The sequence below is a fragment of the Homo sapiens genome, chromosome 2 (genome assembly GCF_000001405.40).
Source record: "Homo sapiens chromosome 2, GRCh38.p14 Primary Assembly".
Taxonomy (NCBI): domain Eukaryota; kingdom Metazoa; phylum Chordata; class Mammalia; order Primates; family Hominidae; genus Homo; species Homo sapiens.
Genome location: NC_000002.12, coordinates 63,123,014 through 63,144,004, shown reverse-complemented (window position 1 = coordinate 63,144,004; position 20,991 = coordinate 63,123,014). Strand labels below are relative to the sequence as shown.

At 37.4% G+C, this 20,991-nt stretch overlaps 1 protein-coding gene across 15 annotated transcripts in view; it reads left to right on the top strand.

Annotated features, from left to right (window-relative positions):
• The window catches only part of WDPCP (WD repeat containing planar cell polarity effector), a 721,268-nt gene that overhangs the window by 696,822 nt on the left and 3,455 nt on the right, over positions 1–20,991 (top strand). The gene's annotated exons all lie outside the window — the stretch shown is intronic.

The following is a 20,991-nucleotide window of genomic DNA, read 5'->3' as shown; positions in this document are numbered from 1 at the left end:
TTCCCCAGCCTTGCTAGAGACCTAGACATCCAAATACAAGAAGCACAAAGAACACCTGGAAAATTCATTGCAAAAAGATCTTCGCCTAGGCACATAGTCATCAGGTTATCCAAAGTTAAGACAAAAGAAAGAATCTTAAAACCTGTAAGACAGAAGAACCAAGTAACCTATAAAGGAAAACCTATCAGATTAACAGCAGATTTCTCAGCAGAACCCCTACAAGCTAGAAGAGATTGGTGCCCTATCTTCAGCCTCCTCAAACAAAACAATTATCAGCCAAGAATTTAGTATCCAGCAAAAGTAAGCATCATGTATGAAGCAAAGATATAGTCGTTTTCAGACAAACAAATGCTGACAGAATTTGCCATTACCAAGCCACCACTATAAGAACTGCTAGAAGGAGCTGTAAATCTTGAAACAAATTCTGGAAACACATCAAAACAGAACCTCTTTAAAGCATAAATCACACAGGACCTATAAAACAAAAATACATGTTAAAAAGCAAAAACAACAAAAAAAACAAAGTACGCAGGCAACAAAAATCACAATGAATGCAACGGTACCTCATATTTCAATACTAACATTGAATGTAAATGGCCTAAATGCTCCTCTTAAAAGATACAGAACCACAGAATGGATAAGAACTCACCAACCAACTCTCTGCTGCCTTCAGAAGACTCACCTAACACATAAGGACTCACATAAACTTAAAGTAAAGGGGCAGAAAAAGGCATTTCATGCAAATGGACACCAAAAGCGAGCAGGGGCAGCTATTCTTATACCAGACAAAACAAATTTTAAAGTAACAGCAGTTAAAAGAGACCAAGAGGGACATTATATAATGGTAAAAACCTTGTCCAACAGGAAATATCACAATCCTAAAAACAGAGGCACCTGCGGTGACATGTGCCTGTAGTCCCCGCTACTCCACGAGGCTGGGGCAGGAGAATCGCTTGAACTTGGGAGGCAGAAAGTGTAGTGAGCCAAGATCGCACCACTGCACTCCAGCCTGGATGACAGCAAAACTCTGTCTCAAAATATGTATATAGATGGGTGTGTGTGTGTGTGTGTGTGTGTGTGTATATGTATGTGTATATATATGTATGTGTGTATATATGTATGTGTATATATGTATGTGTGTATATATATGTGTGTACACACACACACACACACACACACACACACACCCCTAACACTGCAGCTCCCAAATTTATATAACAATTACTAATAGACCTAAGAAACAATTACTAATAGACCTAAGAATAGACCTAAGACCTACACTACTCCACTGACAGCACTAGACAGGACATCAAGACAGAAACTCAACAAAGAAACAATGGATTTAAACTATACCTTAAAACAAATGGACTTAACATATATAAACAGAACATTTCATCCAACAACCACAGAACACACAGTGCATGGAACTTTCTCCAAGATACAGCACATGATAGCCCATAAAACGACCCTCAATAAATTTTAAAAAATTGAAATTATATCAAGCACGCTCTCAGATCACAGTGGAATAAAACTGGAAATCAACTCCAAAAGGAACCTTCAGAACCATACAAATACATAGAAATTAAATAACGTCCTCCTGAATGAGCATTGAGTCAAAAATGAAATCAAGATGGAAATTAAAAAATTATTTGAACTGAATGACAATAATGACACAACCTATCAAAACCTCTGGGATACAGCAAAGGCGGTGCTAAGATGAAAGTTCATAGCCCTAAGCACCTACATCAAAAAGACTGAAAGGGCACAAACTCACATTCTAAGGTCATACCTCAAGGAACTACAGAAACAAGAACAAACCAAACTCAAACCCAGCAGAAATAAGAAAACTGCCAAGATGAGAGCAGAACTAAATGAAATTGAAACAAACAAAAAATACAAAAGATAAATGAGACAAAAAGCTGGTTCTTTGAAAAGATAAATAAAACTGATAGATCATTAGCAAGATTAACCAAGAGAAGAAGAGAGAGAAGCCAAATAACCTCAATAAGAAACGAAACAGGAGATATTACAACGGACACCACTGAAATACAAAAGATCATTCAAGTCTACTATGAACACCTTTAGGCACATGAACTAGAAAACCTAGAAGAGATGGATAAATTCCTGGAAAAAATACAGCCCTTCTAGCTTAAATCAGGAAAAATTAGATACCCTGAACAGACCAATAACAAGCAGCGAGATCGAAATGGTATTTTTAAAATTACCAACAACAACAAAAAAAAGAGTCCAGGCCAGATGGATTCACAGGAGACATTCAGATTCTACCAGACATTCAAAGAAGAATTGGTACCAATCCTTTTGATACCATTCCACAAGATAGAGAAAGAAGGAACCCTCTGTAATTCATTTTATGAAGCCAGCATCACCCTAATACCAAATCCAGGAAAGGACATAACCAAAAAAGAAAACTATAGACCGATATCCTTGATGAACATTGATGTTAAACTTCTTAACAACTACTAGCTCTAGCTAACCAAATCCAACAACATATCAAAAAGATAATCCACCATGATCAAGTGGGTTTCATACCAGGGATGTAGGGATGGTTTAACATATGCAAGCCAATAAATGTGATACACCACAGAAACAGAATTAAAAGTAAAAATCAGCTGGACATGGTGGCTCATGCCTGTAATCCCAGCACTTTGGGGGGCTGAGGCGGGTGGATCACGAGGTCAGGAGTTTGAGGCCAGCCTGACCAACATGGTGAAAACCTGTCTCTACTAAAAATACAAAAATTAGCCGGGCCTGGTGGCGCACGCCTGTAATCCCAACTACTCGGGAGGCTGAGACAGGAGAATCGCTTGAACCCAGGAGGCGGAGGTTGCAGGAGCCAAGATTGCACCATTGCACTACAGCCTGGGCAACAGAGTGAGACTCTGTCTCAAAAAAAAAAAAAGTAAAAATCACATGATCATCTCAATAGATGCAGAAAAAGCATTCGACAAAATCCAGCATCCCTTTATGATTAAAACTCTCAGCAAAATCAGCATTCAAAGGACATACCTTAATGTAATAAACTCCATCTATGACAAACCAACAGCAAACGTGATACTGAATGGGGAAAAGTTGAAAGCATTCCCTCTGGGAACTGGAACAAGACAAGAATGCCCGCTGTCACCACTCCTGTTCAACATAGTACTGGAAGTCCTAGCCAGAGCAATCAGACAAGAGAAAGAAATAAAGGGCATCCAAATCAGTAAACAGGAAGTCAAACTGTCACTGTTTGCTGATGATACAATCGTTTACCTTGAAAACCCTAAGGACTCCTCCAGAAAGCTCCTAGAACTGATAAAAGAATTCAGCAAAGTTTCTGGATACAAGATTAATATACAAAATCAGTAGCTCTTCTATACAACAACAGCAACCAAGTGGAGAATCAGATCAAGAACTCAACCCCTTTTATAATAGCTGCAAAAAAAAAAAAAATACTTAGGAATATACCTAACCAAGGAGTTGAAAGACCTCTACAAGGAAAACTACAAAACACTGCTGAAAGAAATCATAGATGACGCAAACAAACGGAAACACATCCCATGCTCATGAATGGGTAGAATCAATATTGTGAAAATGACCATACTGCCAAAAGCAATCTACAAATTCAATGTAGTCCCCATCAAAATACCACCATCATTCTTCACAAAATTAGAAAAAACAATTCTAAAATTCATATGGAACCAAGAAAGAGCCCACACAGCCAAAGCAGACTAAGCAAAAAGAACAAATCTAGAGGAAGCACACTACCTGATTTCAAACTATAATATAAGGCCATAGTCACCAAAACAGCATGGTACTGGTATAAAAATAGGCATACAGATCAATGGAACTGAATAGAGAACCCAGAAATAAATGCAAATACTTACAGCCAACTGATTTTCAACAAAGCAAACAAAAACATAAAGTGGGGAAAGGACACCCTTTTCAACAAATGGTGCTGGGATAATTGGCTAGCCACATGTAGGAGAATGAAACTGGATCCTCATCTCTCACCTTATACAAAAATCAACTCAAGATGGATTAAGTACTTAAACCTAAGTCGTGAAACTATAAAAATTTTAGAAGATAACATTGGAAAAACCCTTCTAGACATTGGCGTAGGCAAAGATTTCATTACCAAGAACCCAAAAGCAAATGCAATAAAAACAAAGAGAAATAGCTGGGACCTAATTAAACTAAAGAGCTTTTTCACAGCAAAAGAAACAGTCAGCAGAATAAACAGACAACCCACAGAGTGGGAGAAAATCTTCACAATCTATACATCTAACAAAGGACTAATATCCAGAATCTACAACAAACTCAAATCAGTAAGAAAAAAACAATCCCATAAAAAAGTGGGCTAAGGACATGAATGGACAATTCTCAAAAGAACATATACAAATGGCCAACAAACATGAAAAAATGCTCAACATCACTAATGATCAGGGAAATACAAATCAAAACCACAATGCGATACCACCTTACTCCTGCAAGAATGGCCATAATAAAAAAAATCAAACAGTAGATGTGGGCGTGGATGTGGTGAACAGGGAACACTTCTACACTGCTGGTGGGAATGTAAACTCATACAGCCACTATGGAAAACAGTGTGGAGATTCCTTAAAGAACTAAAAGTAGAACTACCATTTGATCCAGCAACCCCACTATTGGGTGTCTACACAGAAGAAAAGAAGTCATTACTCAAAAAAGATACTTGTACATGCATTTTTATAGTGGAGCAATTCACAACTGCAAAATCATGGAACCAACCCAAATGCCCATCATCAACAAGTGGATAAAGAAACTGGTGTGTGTGTGTGTGTGTGTGTGTGTGTGTATACACATATATACATACACATATACACACACATACATGTATATATGTGTATATATGTGTTTATGTGTATATACACGTATATATATACACACACATACATACATACACAGTGGAGTACTATGCAGCCATAAAAAGGAGTGAATTAATAGCATTTGTAGTGATCTGGATGAGATTAGAGACTATTATTCTACGTGAAGTAACTCAGGAATGGAAACCAAACATCGTATGTTCTCACTGATATGTAGGAGCTAAGCTATGAGGACACAAAGGTATAAGAATGATACAGAGGACTTTGGGGACTTGGGGGGAAGAGTGGGAAGGGGGTGAGGGATAAAAGAGTACTAATATGGTGCAGTGTATACCCATATTTGATGGGTGCACCAAAATCTCCCAAATCATCACTAAAGAACTTACTCATGTGCCGGGCACGGTGGCTCATGCCTGTAATCCCAGAACTTTCGGAGGCTGAGGCGGGTGGATCACGAGGTCAGGAGATCGAGACCATCCTGGCTAACATGGTGAAACCCCATCTCTACTAAAAATACAAAAAATTAGCCGGGCGAGGTGACGGGCGCCTGTAGTCCCAGCTATGGGGGAGGCTGAGGCAGGAGAATGGCATGAACCCCGGGGAGCGGAGCCTGCAGTGAGCCGAGATTGCACCACTGCACTCCAGCCTGGGCAACAGCGAGACTCCGTCTCAAAAAAAAAAAAAAAAAGAACTTACTCATGTAACCAAATACCACCTGTACCCAATAACGTATGGAAAAATTAATTAATTAATTAAAATAAAATAGCAATATCTGGCGTTGCCAAGGTTGCAAGGAAATGGGCACTGGTATACACTGCTGAGCATGCACACATTAGCACAACCTCTCCTCAGGGCAGCTTGACACTATGCATTGAAAGAGTTAAATGTGAACTGTAATTCACTCTCTGGAAATTCATCCTAAAAAGATAATTAAGGATGAGTACAAAAATTTAATCATAAGGATGCTCACTGCAGTGCAATTTTTTATTACAAATAAAAGTGGGAAATAATCTAAATCACCAAACAGAGGAGTGTTAAATAAACTATGTGCACCAAAAAAAAAAAAAAAAAAATCATATGGAACCTAAAAAGAGTCCAAAAGGCCAAGGAAATCCTAAGGAGAAAAAAAGAAAAACAAAAAGCTGGAGGCATCATTGCTACCCAACTTCAAACTATACTACAGAACTACAGTAACCAAAACAGCATGGTACCTGTACAAAAACAGACACATGGACCAATGGAACAGAATAGAGAATGCAGAAATAAGACTGCACACCTACAACTATCTGATCTTCAAAAAACCTGACAAAAACAAGCAACGGAGAAATGCATCCCTATTCAATAAATGGTGCTGGGATAAGTAGCTAGCTATATGTAGAAAATTGAAACTGGACCCCTTCATTAGATCATATACAAAAATTAACTCGAGATGGATTAAAGACTTAAATGTAAAACCCAAAACTATAAAAACCCTAGAAGAAAACCTAGATAATACCATTCAGGACACAGGCATGGGCACAGATTTCATGATGAAGATGCCAAAAGTAACTGCAACAAAAGCAAAATTGACTAATGGGATCCAATTAAACTAAACTAAAGAGCTTCTGCACAGCAAAAGAAACTATCAACAGAGTAAACAGATAACCTGCAGAATGGGAGAAAATGTTTGCAAACTATGCATCTGACAAATGTCCAACATCTATAAGGAACTTAATATACAAGAAGAAAAAAAATCTATTAAAAGTGGGCAGCAGACACAAGCAGATACTTTTCAAGAGAATCATACATACAAACAACAATCATGAAAAAATGCTCAACATCTTTGATCATCAGAGAAATGCAAATCAAAACCACAATGAGATACCACCTCACACTAGTCAGAGTGACTATTAAAAAGTAAACAACAACAACAACAACAACAACAGATGATGGCAAGTTTGTGGAGAAATGGGAATGCTTATACATTGTTGGTGGGTGTGTAAGTTAGTTCAACCACTGTGGAAGAGAGTGCAGTGATTCCTCAACGTCCTACAGCCAGAAATGCCATTTGACCCAGCAATCCCATTACTGAGTATACACTCAAAGAAATATAGATCATTCTGTTATAAAGACATGCATGCATATGTTCATTGCAGCACTAGTCACAATAGCAAAGACATGGAGTCAACCTAAATGCCCATCAATAATAGACAGGATAAAGAAAATGTGGTACATATATACCATGGAATACTATACAGCCATGAAAAAGAACAAGATCATGTCCCATTCAGGGACATGGATGGAGCTGGAAGCCATATCCTTAGCAAACTAATACAGGAACAGAAAATCAAATTTTGCATGTTCTCACTTACAAGTGGGAGCTAAATGATGAGAACACATGGACACATAGAGGGAAACAACAGACCATGAGGCCTATTGGAGGGTACTGGAGGGTGGAGGGTGGGAGAAGGGAGAGGATCAGTAAAAATAACTAATGGGTACTAGGCTTAATACCTGGATGATGAAATAATATGCACAAAAAACCTCAAATCCCCACTACACAAGTTTACCTATGTTACAAACCTACACATGTATTCCTGAACCGAAAAGTTAAAAAAAAGAATATTTGTTTATACTCCTTTCCCTCCCCCGTAAAATGCACCCATCTTAAGTGTTCTATTATGTGTCTGTATATAATAGATAATACATTATATATTTTATTATACCCATATTATAATAGATTGTCTCTTTCTCTTCCTCTCTCTCACTCTCTCCATCAATCCCTGCAGGGCTTTTTTCCCAAATAATTTTCTTAAATTTCATATTCTGCTCAGACCTGAAGTTAGTTTACAATTAAAGTAAGCAATGAACTATTTTTAAAATCACTACTTATTTTAACCATTACCTAGCTCTAGGCTTCATGAGATTATAAACTTTAATTCTAAGAAAACTGTTTGGGTAAAAGTCCTCTGGGGAATATATATAGAGAGAGAGAGAGTAATTCAAGTATAAAGTTCTCTGACACTTTGAATTAGTTTACTAAACCTTTGGTACTACAATGGCTACATCTTTAATAGAATACATTACTGCCTGTTCACTTCTCAAGAAAAAGTATGTCCCTCAGATTTCCTTGTTCAGTGCAGTGGCTCACACCTGTAATCCTAGCACTTTGGGAGGCCAAGGTGGAAGGATTACTTAAGGCCTGGAGTTTGAACCAGCCTGGGCAACATAGCAGGACCCCATCTCTAAAAAAAAATTTTTTTTAATTAGCCAGACACGGTACACGTGCCTGTAGTCCCAGCTACTCAGAAGGCTGAGGCAGGAGCATTGCCTGAGCCCAGGAGTTAGAGGCTGCAGTAGGCCATAATCACACCTCTGCACTCCAGCCTGGATGACAGAGTGAGACCCTGTCTCAAAACAAACAAACAAAAAAACTTAATTTCCTTGTTCATATTCTCTTTTGTGGAAAAACATAAAGAGAGGATTATGTTGCCATAATTATGAGAATTTTATTAACTTGAAATAATAACATTTGGCTGGGCACAGTGGCACATGCCTATAATCCTAACGCTGGGAGGCTGAGGTGGATGGATCACCTGAGGTTAGGAGTTCAAGATCAGCCTGGCCAACATGGTGAAACGCTGTCTCTCCTAAAAATGCAAAAATTAGCTGGGCGTGGTGACGCATGCCTGTAATCCCAGCTCCTCGGAAGGCTGAGGCAGGAGAATCGCTTGAATCCGGGAGGCCGAGGTGGCAGTGAGCCAAGATCGCGCCACTGCACTCCAGCCTGGACAATAGAGCAAGACTGCATCTCAAAATAAAAGAAATAACGACATTTGAAGAACAATTATATTAGCCTTTGTGAAAACAAAAATATGTTCTGACAGTGCTTGGCTAATTCCTCCTTAAAGTTTATGAACACGTTCACTGAGATCTTAAAAACATCACGTGCCCTGAATTTAGTAGACTATTCTCTGATGGATGTGGTCCATTTTAAGATTTTTGCACACTTTATCCAGAGCTTTTTGTTTTCTTTTATTTGAGACAGGGTCTGGCTCTGTTGCCCAGGCTGGAGTGCAGTGGTGCGATCTCAGCTCACTGCAACTTCTACCTCATGGCTTTAAGTGATCCTCCCACCTGAGCCTCCCAGGTAGCTAGCACTACAGGCCCGTGCCACCACACCTGGCTAATTTTTGTATTTTTTGTAGAGACAGGGTTTCACCTTGTTGCCCAGGCTAGTCTCAACCTCCTGAGTTCAAGCAATCCACCTGCATTGGCCTCCCAAAGTGCTGGGGTTACAGGTGTGAGCCACAGCGCCCCCCAATCTTGAGCTTTGAAAAACACATTTAAATGGACCTTAACTGAGATACACAGCAATTTCCCTATACTCAGCCACAATGAAGAAAAAATAAGGAAATTCATAATTTTTTAAATACATACTTCAAAGATGGACACAATATTGACTTAATCAGAAGCCATCAGAGGTCACTAATAAATGAAGCAATTTGCATATGTGAATTTTACAAGTTTCATATTTGATACCAAGAACAAAATGTTCTCAGAATTTCATATTAAAAACACCAGTGTTCAAAGTGCTCATAGTATAAGCCAAGTATCTAAAACCTTTGAAAACACAGCATTCTATGAAAACAATATGTGTACATGTATGTGTATGTCTGTGTGGGTGTTTGTGTATGCATATATATAAATTTACTAAATACTTTTCTGGCATTCTGTGAAACTTAGCCAGAATTTAATTTTTATTTCCTTTATTTACATGCCGAGTGGGTATTATTGATCATAATTGTGATCTATTATATTGGAGCAGGAAAGGATATGAGTTAAATCATAGAAATAAAATGTGAATTTTGGAGGAAAAATAAAATAAAACTGGGAAAGAGAGATACTACAGAGAAATTACATTCTATAACCACAGAAGTGGGGTGGGCAAAATAACAAGGATTTGACCAGGTGGGATTAGAATTTCACTAAAGTTCTCACACTGCATATATTATTCAGGGTTGTATTGACAATGGAGTCCCCTTCCCATGCAGTAAGGAAACCACATACAACCAGAGGAAACAACGATTAGAAAACCCCTAGGAAGAATGACATCAGCAAAATGTGACTAAGAAGCTTCAGACCCTCATTCTCCTTAATAAACATTAAAGAAACAACTATACAGTGACTAAATAACTTTATAGGAACTCTGGAAAACAGTCAAAGGTCTACAGAAACCAAGTAAACAATCAAGAACAAGCTACATCCCGAACAGTAGGACATGTCATGGCATTTTTGCTCACCCTTGTTCCACTCCTCCCCAGCCGTTGTCTTGGTTTGGAGGAGATGGCAGTTCCTAATTCCACCTGTATTAGTCCATTCTCATGCTGCTATGGATAAATATCTAAGACTGGGTAATTTATAAAGGAAAGAAGTTTAGTTGACTCACAGTTCTGCATAGCTGAGGAGACCTCAGGAACCTTATAATCATGGCAAAAGGCAAAGGAGAAGCAGACAGGACAGAGTGAATGCCAGCAGGAGAAATGCCAGACGCTTATAAAACCATCAAATCTTGTGAGAACTCTTCACTATCATAAGAACGGCATGGGGAAAACTGCCCCCATGATTCAGTTACCTCCACCTGGTCCCACCCTTGACACGTGGGAATTATTACAATTCAAGGTGAGATTTGGGTGGGGACACACAGCCAAATCATATCACCATCCCTTGAACCAAAACGAACAAGGCTGACCTTATTTGCAACATTCTAACTTGTCTAAAGGCTGCCTGAAGAATTGATCCCTGATTCACCTAACTCAGATCTCTGCTAGGAGACAAGCATGGCCTTAATCTCAGATGAGGAGAAGCAGTAGTCATGGCTCAGAAAGCTGCAGAGAGACCCTACAGATTCCTGGGGCAAAAGATTATAGGTGGAGACATATGACAGACCATCAAGACCCCACAAAGATCTCTTGGGAAATTTAAGACAATTAAAAGCAGCCATCTATACAGAGATTCAAAAAACCACAAACAGGTCCAGGCAAGATGCATGCTCAGTAAAGACCTGAGAAGACCTTTAGCTTTCTCTTTGATGTGATCTCAAAATTCAGAAGCAAGGCCAAGATAATTAGGAAAGGACTTCCATGGCAAAGAGCCAGTCTACAGAGAATGGGAGAAGTAGCTGTTTTTCTTTTTGTTTTCAAATCCCCAACATAACTATTGTGAATTTAAAATCCCAAAATCACAATGCATAAAAAGAAACGGAAACATGGACCATTCAATAATAATAATAAATTGGCAGAAACTATCCCTGAAAAAATACAGGTATCAGACTTACTAGAAAAAGATTTTCAAACAATGTTTTAAATATGTTCAAACAGTAAAGAACAACATGGACAGAGACCTAAAGGAAATCAGGTAAATTATATGAACAAAGGGGAATTTCAACAGAGATAGACATTATTAAAAGAACCAACCAGAAATTCTGGAAATGAAAAATATAATGGGCACACTGGGGATAGTCAAACTTAAAAATTCACTAGAGGGATTCAATAGCAGACTTGGACAGAAGAAAGAATAAACAAGCTTAAAGATAACTTATTTGAAATTATCTAGTATGAGGTACAAAAAGAACAAAAGAATAAAAAAGTGAACAGAGCTTAAGAGACACTATCAAGCAGGACAATATATCCATTATGAAGATCCCAGAAGGAGAAGACAATAAGAAAAAGGTAGGGAACTTATTTGAAATATAATGGCCAAAAACTTACCCAATCTGAGGATAGAAATAGACATATAAACTCAAGAAGTTCAACAAATTCTAAGTATAATAAACCCAAAGAGACATACAACAAGACACATTACAATCAAACTGCTGAAAGTCAAAGACAAAGAGATAATCTTGAGAGCTACAAGAGAAAAATGACTCATCACATACAAGGGAGCCTAATAAGATTATCAGCAAAGTTCTCAGTATGAATCTTGCAGGCTAAAAAGGAATGGGAAAGTATATTCAAAAACATCAACTGGGCCGGGTGTGATGGCTCACACTTGTAATCCTAGCACTTTGGGAGGCCGAGGCAGGCAGACCACTTGAGATCAGGAGTTCAAGACCAGCCTGGCCAACATGTTGAAACCCCATCTCTACTAAAAATACAAAATATTAGCCAGGCATGGTGGCACACGCCTGTAATCCCAGCTACTCAGGAGGCTAAGACAGGAGAATAGCGGAACCTGGGAGGTGGAGGTTGCAGTGAGCTGAGATCGCACCACTGTACTCCAACCTGGGAGACAGAGCGAGACCCCATCTCAAAAAAAAAAAAAAAAAAAAGAATACTGTATCTAGCAAAACTGTCCTTCAAATGTGAAGAAATGATGACATTCCCAGATAAAAGATGTATAGTCAACACCACTAGATGTTCCCTACAAGAAATGCTAAAGAGGGTCCTTCAAATTGAAGCAAAAAGATACTAGACAGCTATACAAAGTCACATGAAAGTATAATGTTCTCCATTAAAGGTAAACATATGGGCAACTATAGAATCCTGTGTTATTGTAATTCTGGTGCACAAATCCACTTTTAATTCTTGTATAGAATCTATAAAATTACTCACACAAAAAATCTATAAATCTAAGTTAATAAGTACACAATATATAAATGTAAGTTTTAACAATAAAAAAAGGAGGAACTGTAAAGGAGAATTTTTGTATGCTAATGAAGATTAGTTGTTATCAGTGTAACATAAATTGCATAAATTTGAAATGTGTTACGTAATCACAATGCTAGCCACCAAGAAAAATATCTATATAGTGCACACAAAAGGAAATGAAAAGGGAATCAAAGTATGTCACTATAAAAAAAAATCAATGGATTACAAAGGGAGGGCAGTAAGAAAAGAAATGAGGAACCAAAAAGCCACAAGACATACAGAAAACAGGTGACAAACCAGCAATAGTAAATCCTTCCATATCAATAATTACTTTAAATATGAATAATCCAACTACTAGTCAAAAGACATATTGACTGAATGGATTTTTTTAAAAACTCTAACACTCTGCTGCACACAAGAGACTCATTTTAGATTCAACACATAAGCTGAAATGGAAAGGATGGAAAAAATATTTCATGTAACTAGTTACCACAGGAGAGCAGGGGTACCTATAATGGTATCAGATAAAATAGACTTTCAATGAAAAATCATCACAAGAGACTAGGAAGGATAATACATGATTAAAGAGTCAATTCACCAAGATATAATTATTATAAATATGTATGTACCAAACATCAGAACTCTTAAATATATGAAGCAAACATTAACATAATTGAAGAAAGAAATAGACAGCAATGCAGTAATATTAGGAGACTTCAATAACCTGCTTTCAATAATCGATAGGACAACCAGACAGAAGATCAATAAGGACAACAGAAGACTTGAAAAACACTACAGACCAACTGGATGGAACAGACACATACAGAACTCTCCACTCAATTCCTATCAAAATCTCAATATATCTTTGCAGAAATAGAAAAAAAAAATACTCATCCTTAAATTAATATGGAAAATCAAGGGACCTTGAAAAGCCAAAACAATCTTGAAAACAAACAATAAAGTTGAAGAACTCACACTTTCTGACTTCAAAATTTACTACAAAGCTACAGTAATCAAAATATGGTGCTAGCATAAAGACAGACATATAGAACCATGGAACAGAATCGAGAACCTAAATAAAACCTTTGTGTATGTGGATAAATGATTTCTGACAAGGGTGCCAAGACCATTTAATGGGGGAAAAGACAGTCTTTTCATCAAATATTGCTGGGAAAACAGGATGTCCATATGCAAAAGTATGAAGTTAGACTCTTACCTTACACCATATACAAAAATCAACTCAAAATGTATCAAAGATCTATACACAGGCCTAAAACTATAATTCTCTTGGAGAAAACGTAGGAGAAAATGTAGCATTGAATTTGGCAACGATTTCACAGGTAAGACACCAAAAGTACAGGCAATAAAAACAACAACAAAAAAACAGATAAACTAGACTTCACTAAAATTATTGTTTGTCCATCAAAGGATACTATCAACAGAGTAAAAAGGCAACCCACACAACAGGAGAAAATACAGTTGGCCCTCTGTATCCATGAGTTCCTCATCTGTGGATTCCACCAACAAGAGATTGAAAACATTGGGAAAAAAACCATCTGTCCTAAACATGTACAGACTTTTTTTCTTGTAAATTATTCCCTAAATAATACAGTATAACAATGATTTACATAATAATTACATTGTATTAGGTATTATAAGTAATGCAGAGATTATTTAAAATATATGTGAGGATATGTATAGATTATATGCAGATACTACGCATTTAATATCAGGGACACAAGCATCTGCAGATTTTAGTATCTCTAGGGGGTCCTGGAATCAATCCCCACAAATACTGAGCGACAACTGTATTTGCAAATCACATATATAATAAGTGACAAATAACCAGAATATAGAAGAACTACAACCCAATAAAAAAATGTAATGTGCAAAGAACTTCCAAGATATACAAATGGACAAAAAGTACATGAAATGATGTTCAACATCACTAATTGTTAGAAAAATGCAGATCAAACCACAACGAGAAACTACATACATTGGAATGGCTATTATTTGATTTTAGCCAAAAGGCTGAGAAGCAATAAGATGGCCATTATCAAAAAACAGAAAGCAAAAAGTGTTGATAAGGATGTGGAGAAACTAGAACAATTGTACATTGCCAGTGGGAATATAAAATGGTGTTGCCCCTGTGGAAAACAGTATGGTAGTTCCTCAAAAAATTAAACATAAAACCATTATATGATCCAGCAATTTTACTTCTGGTATACACCCCAAAGAATTGAAAGCAAGGACAAGAACAGATATTTTCACACCTGTGTTCATAGCAACATTAGTCACAATACCCAAAAGGTGGAAACAACCAAAATGGCCACTGACAGATTAATGAATAAACAAAAGGTGGTATATACATATAATGAAATATTATTCAGCCCTAAAAAGGGAATGAAGTTCTGATACCTGCTACAGCATGGATGAACTTTGCAGACATTACGCTAAGTGAAATGAGGCTCAAAAGGACAAATATTGCATTACTCCACTTATATGAAGTACCTGGAATAGTCAAATTCTTAGAGACACAAAGTAGAACACCGTGCACAGTGGCTCACGCCTGTAATCCCAGCACTTTCAGAGGCCAAGGTGGGTGGATCACCTGAGGTCAGGAGTTCAAGACCAGCCTGACCAACACGGAGAAACCCCATCTCTAATAAAAATACAAAATTAGCAGGGCATGGTGGCACATGCCTGTAATCCCAGCTACTCGAGAGGTTGAGGCAGGAGAATCGCTTGAACCCAGGAGGCGGAGGTTGTGGTGAGTCAAGATTGCGCCACTGCACTCCGGCCTGGGCAACAAGAGCAAAATTCCATCTCAAATAAGTAGAACAGTGGTTATCAGAGGCTTAAGGAAGTATGAAATGGGAAATTGTTATTTATTGAGTACAGAATTTCAGTTGAATGATTAAAAAGTTCTGGAGATGGAGAGCGGTGATGGTTACATGATGATGTGAATGTGCCTAATCCCACTAAAGTATACACTTAAAAATAAAGTGGTAAATTTTATGTTAAATATATTTTACCACAATAAAAAATAAAGGAAAGGGAAAGGAAAGAAATGAAACCACTAGTGATCTAGTTACCTCTTGGGAACATTCTGGAAAAAATTTGTGGTAAAGACAGAAACGGAAGGAAAAAGTTTTAATTATCTTTTAAACTTTAATAGGTAAATTTAGAGGTTATCTTGGGGCTACATGTTTGAGTGAGTTTCTAGGTATGGGGCAAACCTCTTGTTTCCTCCCACTGACTTTGCTCATAGTCAAGGGTAATAAATCATGTAGTTACCTATCTACATTGTCTTGTTTGTACTATTCATTGGCATACTGTCTGAAAGAAATCTTATATTTATTTATTAATTTTTTTTGAGGTGGAGTATCATTCTGTCACCCAGGCTGGAGTGCAGAGGTGTGATCTCAGCTCACTGCAACCTCCGCCTCCCGGGTTCAAGTGATTCTCCTGCCTCAGCCTCCAGAGTAGCTGGGATTACAGAAGCACGCTACCACACCCGGCTAATTTGTTTATTTTTAGAAGAGACAGGGTTTCACCATGTTGGCCAGGCTGGTCTTGAACTTCTGACCTGAAGTGATCCAGCCGCCTTGACCTCCCAAGTGCTGGGATTACAGTCGTGAGCCACCATGCCAGGCCACAGAAATCTTGTATTTAGAAATGGCAGAAACCCATTCTTTTAATGTGGAATTATGGTAGATATAGCAACCTGCTGCACTTCCTGTTTTTACTATCACCCAAAGAGGGGAGTAATACATATAGAATAGGGAGTGTGTGCATATATATATGTGTGTGTGTGCGTATATATATATATATATATATATATATATATATGCACATACACATACACGGTATTTACATGTTGACAATTACATTAATAGAGCATCTTGAAGTATAAGTGTATAACCTCTAAAAATGATAAAGTAGCAATTTTTGTGTTTGCTACTACTTCTATCATAAGTTTATCAATTTACTTGATGGAATACAGTATCTTCAAGTATTGGTTGAGATGGAGTAATTGATAAACTATTCTCATTCTTTCCTCTAAAAATTGATTTTTAAAAAATATTTTCAGGCCGGGTGCGGTGGCTCACGCTTGTAATCCCAGCACTTTGGGAGGCCGAGGCGGGCAGATCACGAGGTCAGGAGATCAAGACCATCCTGGCCAACATGGTGAAACCCCGTCTCTACTAAAAATACAAAAAAAATTAGCTGGGTATGGCGGCTCATGCCTGTAGTCTCAGCTACTCGGGAGGCTGAGGCAGGAGAATTGCTTGAACCTTGGAGGCGGAGACTGCAGTGAGCCAAGATTGTGCTACTGCACTCCAGTCTAGTGACAGAGCGAGACTCCATCTCAAAAAAAAAAAAAAAAAAAGTTAAATATGTCAACATACTTTATCTCAGCATTTATGATCTATTTACTTTCTGAAAGATTTGGGGCATTTCACTAAAGTATTTTATATATCATATCTAAAATAAATTATATACACAGCAAAAGTCAATTAAAAGTTGCAGGCCAGGCATGGTGACTTACGCCTGTAATCCTAGTGATTTGGGAGGCTAAGGCAAAAAGTTCGCTAGAGCCCAGTAGTTTGAGACTAGCTTAGGCAACATAGCAAGACCTTGTCTCTACAAAAATAAAAGTTTAAAAAAATTATCCAGGCACAGTGGTGCACACCTGTAGTCCCAGCTACTTGGGAGGCTGAGGCAAGATCACCTGAGCCCGAAAGTTTGAGCTGTACTTTTGCTGTGAGCTATAATTGTGCCACTGTTCTCCAGCCTGGGCAACAGAGCACAACCCTATCTCAAAAAAAAAAAAAAAAAAAAAAACACAAAACAAGTTGCACAGTTATGTGATGTTGAATATCGGGCTGTTTTATACAAGTTAAAACTGTGTTTAGCTCTGAATTTGGGAAGGCAAAGGCAAAAAAGTGAAATAGGTTTACTTTGAGAAGCATCATGGTATAACAGAAAGAATGCAGTATTATAAGCAAACTGTCTCAGTCTAATTTTGTTCCACTACCTCCTCACTGCTACACACCTCTATACCTGTTTCTTCATCTGTAAAATGAGAATGGTTATGTTTAATTTAGTAATATTACATGATTAATCTGTCAAATTAGGTAATGGAAAACCATTCTGTTCTAAAACATGGTTCATGATTATTGTTTTTATTAATTTTTTAACACATGCAAATAGTAAATTTATCTAGATGGAAACACTTTTTCAGCATTCTATATTCACACTCAAGAATGTTTGTGCAGCCCAGGTGCATTGGCTTACACCTGTAATCCCAGCACTTTGGGAGGTCAAGGCAGGCGGATCACTTGAGGCCAGGAGTTCAAGACCAGCCTGGCCAAAATGGTGAAACCCTGTCTCTACAAAAAATACAAAAATAGCCTGGTGTGGTGGTGCATGCCTGTAGTCCCAGCTACTTGGGAGGCTAGGGTGGGAAAATCACCTGAGCCTCGGAGGTCAAGGCTGCATTGAGCCTTGATTGTACCACTACACTCCAGCCTGGGTGACAGAGTGAGACCTTATCTCAAAAAAAAAAAAAAAAGCTTGTGTAAAAAAAAACTGAAAAGCAGCCTGGCGAGGTGGCTCACGCCTGTAATCCCAGCACTTTGGGAGGCCAAGGTGGGGAGATTGCCTGAGGTCAAGAGTTCAAGACCAGCCCGGCCAACACGGGAAAACCCCATCTCTACTAAAAATACAAAAAAATTAGCCAGATGTGGTGACGTGCGCCTGTAGTCTCAGCTACTCAGAAGGCTGAGGCAGGGAGAACTGCTTGAACCCGGGAAGCGGAGGTTGCAGTGAGCCGAGATCACGCCACTGCACTCCAGCCTGGGCAACAGAGCAAGACACCGTCTTATTAAAAAACAAAACAAAAAAAACTGAAAAGCAAGCTGGGTGTGGTAGTGTATCCCTACAGTCCCAGCTCCTTTGGAGGCTGAGGTAGGGGAAGTGCTTGAGCCCAGGAGTTTTAGGCCAGCATGGAGAACCTAGCAAGACCCAATCTCTAAATTTTTAACTGAAAAACAAACTAAACATGTCTTAGAGTTTTGAAAAGGATAGACATTCTAGTCACATAGATGTTTCTTATTATAACTCCTCTTTATAAGGTAAAATACTTAAATCATAATTCACTAAAGGCATTCCTGTGGAAAGGTGAAATGACAAGTTCTAAGTACACTCCTTTCTGATGGCTTACTTAACACAGAAGTTAGAAAGTTAGTTAGCTTATCTATAAAACTTGTCTCTCGTATGTACCAGAAGCCTCAAGCCAACCTTTGGCAAGTGCTAGACTACAGTCAGTTTGAGACTGCATTTTCTACAAAAAATGTCAAGTACCAAACTCTGCCATGTTGATGAAAAAGAAACCTATATATGATACCAAATATGCAAGAAGCAGAGTTCAATTTCACAATGTTCAGTAGTGAAACTTGAATAGCTGGTCAACTTACTCAGAAAAGCGTCTCCTGCCACATAGGGTGGACCACTAGCTAGCATGCTTATAAGCAAAAGCCTTAAATGAGAGGAATAGGGAATCAGAGAAGTTAATCATAAAGCAGCCTGTGGAACAAGTATTGTTAGTACATTAAAAAACTATAGTGGAAAAAAAAAAACCCTTTACAGAGAAATACGAACAAAATTATAATCCCAACTCTGCCACTAACTGACTTTGGACAAAACACTTAACCCATATGAGCCTCAACTTGTTCATCTATAAAATAAAACAATTTCAGATTAGGGAGTTTTAAGATTTCTTCCATGTCTAAAATATTATACTTCTGGGATTTAATTATTATTAAACCAAATCAGAAACTTCAAGACAGACTGTTAGTAACACAGAGGAAACCTAACATAATAAACTGAGATGATCACTTACTGTATTAAAATTTAAAAATCTGCATTAAGTGAGCCACAGGTCAAAATCCAGTTTATAGCAAAGCAAAGCTTAACTTGTCTGCTGAATTTACTTACAAAAGTCTGTGTACATTTAAAGGAAAGTGACCTGATATCACCCAATATTAGGTAACAGCAAAAGGGTGTGGCTCAGAAAATGCACTTAACCACATGTAGAAAGCAATGAGGGACTGGGGAAAACCCTTTCGTTGCTGTAAAATTACTACAAGAATTAACACGTAGTTTCATTCAGTCAAGGCTGAGCACAATTTCAACACATTAAAAAAAAAAATGAAGATCAGTCTTCCTTGGAACCACAACTTCCTATTATTGAACAAAATCACCTCCTCCCAAACTAGGAAACAAACAAAGCAAAACTACCAATTCTACAGTGTTTATCCAGAAGCTTAAAATTTCATAGCTTTTGGTCCAATAATTCTATTTCTACAGTTCTATACCAAGGAAATAATCCTACAAACAGAAAAAAAAAAAAAAACTTCATGCCTATCTATCATAGGGTTATTTATGAAAAAGAAGAAATTGGAAACAATATAAATTTAACCAAAAAAGGAGTGGTTAAATAAAGCTATAGTATTTAATGGAATAATAAAATTCAGCCATTAAAAACAGACTATGTAGGAACATTAAAAAGTTTTGAAGTGTTATAAGGCCAAAAAAAAAAAGAAAAGAAAAGATACAGAATTATATATATATATACACAATATAATTCAAGCTGTGTTTAAAATAAATAAATAAAACGTGGAGAAAAAGAGACTAGAAGCAAATTCATGTTAACTTTAGTTTTGTATAACTAGTAGGACTATGGGTAAATTTTCATAGTTTCCTGTTTTCCAAATTTTATTTAATGATTATGTTTTACTTCAAATAATGTTTAAAAACTTGAATGTAAAATAAATTATTTTATAAATCTTCAAAATATCCGTCTAAGGTACGTAGAGTATAAGTCAAGGTTATATAGCAATGGAAACCTTGGAAATGCCCTGAAGTCTTTTTAAAATGCAATGGATTTTAAAGAAAATCCCCCAAAGGAATATTTTTTGTTTTGTTTTTTTAAATCCTGGAAGATCTTGAGAAGTTAATTCTATGATTCTTACTTTTTAAAATGTAATTCCTAAGGTAAGAGAGGATTAAATCATGGATAGAAGACACTACATAACAACAGCAACATGGCTGAACGACACGATAGTTCTTAGGTATGCCATCAGCCTTCTAGCAACAAGTATATCTAGATATTAAGAAAATAAAATAATTTACCTAGGATCTCTGCCAGTTGATGAACAAGGCCAAAACCTAACTCATTTTCTCAATGACCATTCTCGTGGTATAGAAACTAGACTTTGGTATGGTAGTTTATAAGCCAAGAGTTGAAGCTTATGTTTTAAAAAATGACAGTGCTTAGTTTTCTTTTTAAATTGAAAGCTACCTAAAAGCCTGGAACTTGCCAGCACACACTCAAGCCTCAGGCACTATTAAATTACGCATTCTTCTTGCTACCTGTTTTTCCAGGTTTTTTTTTTTTTTTCAATTTTGTGTACATCAAGGTCTACAGGCACATA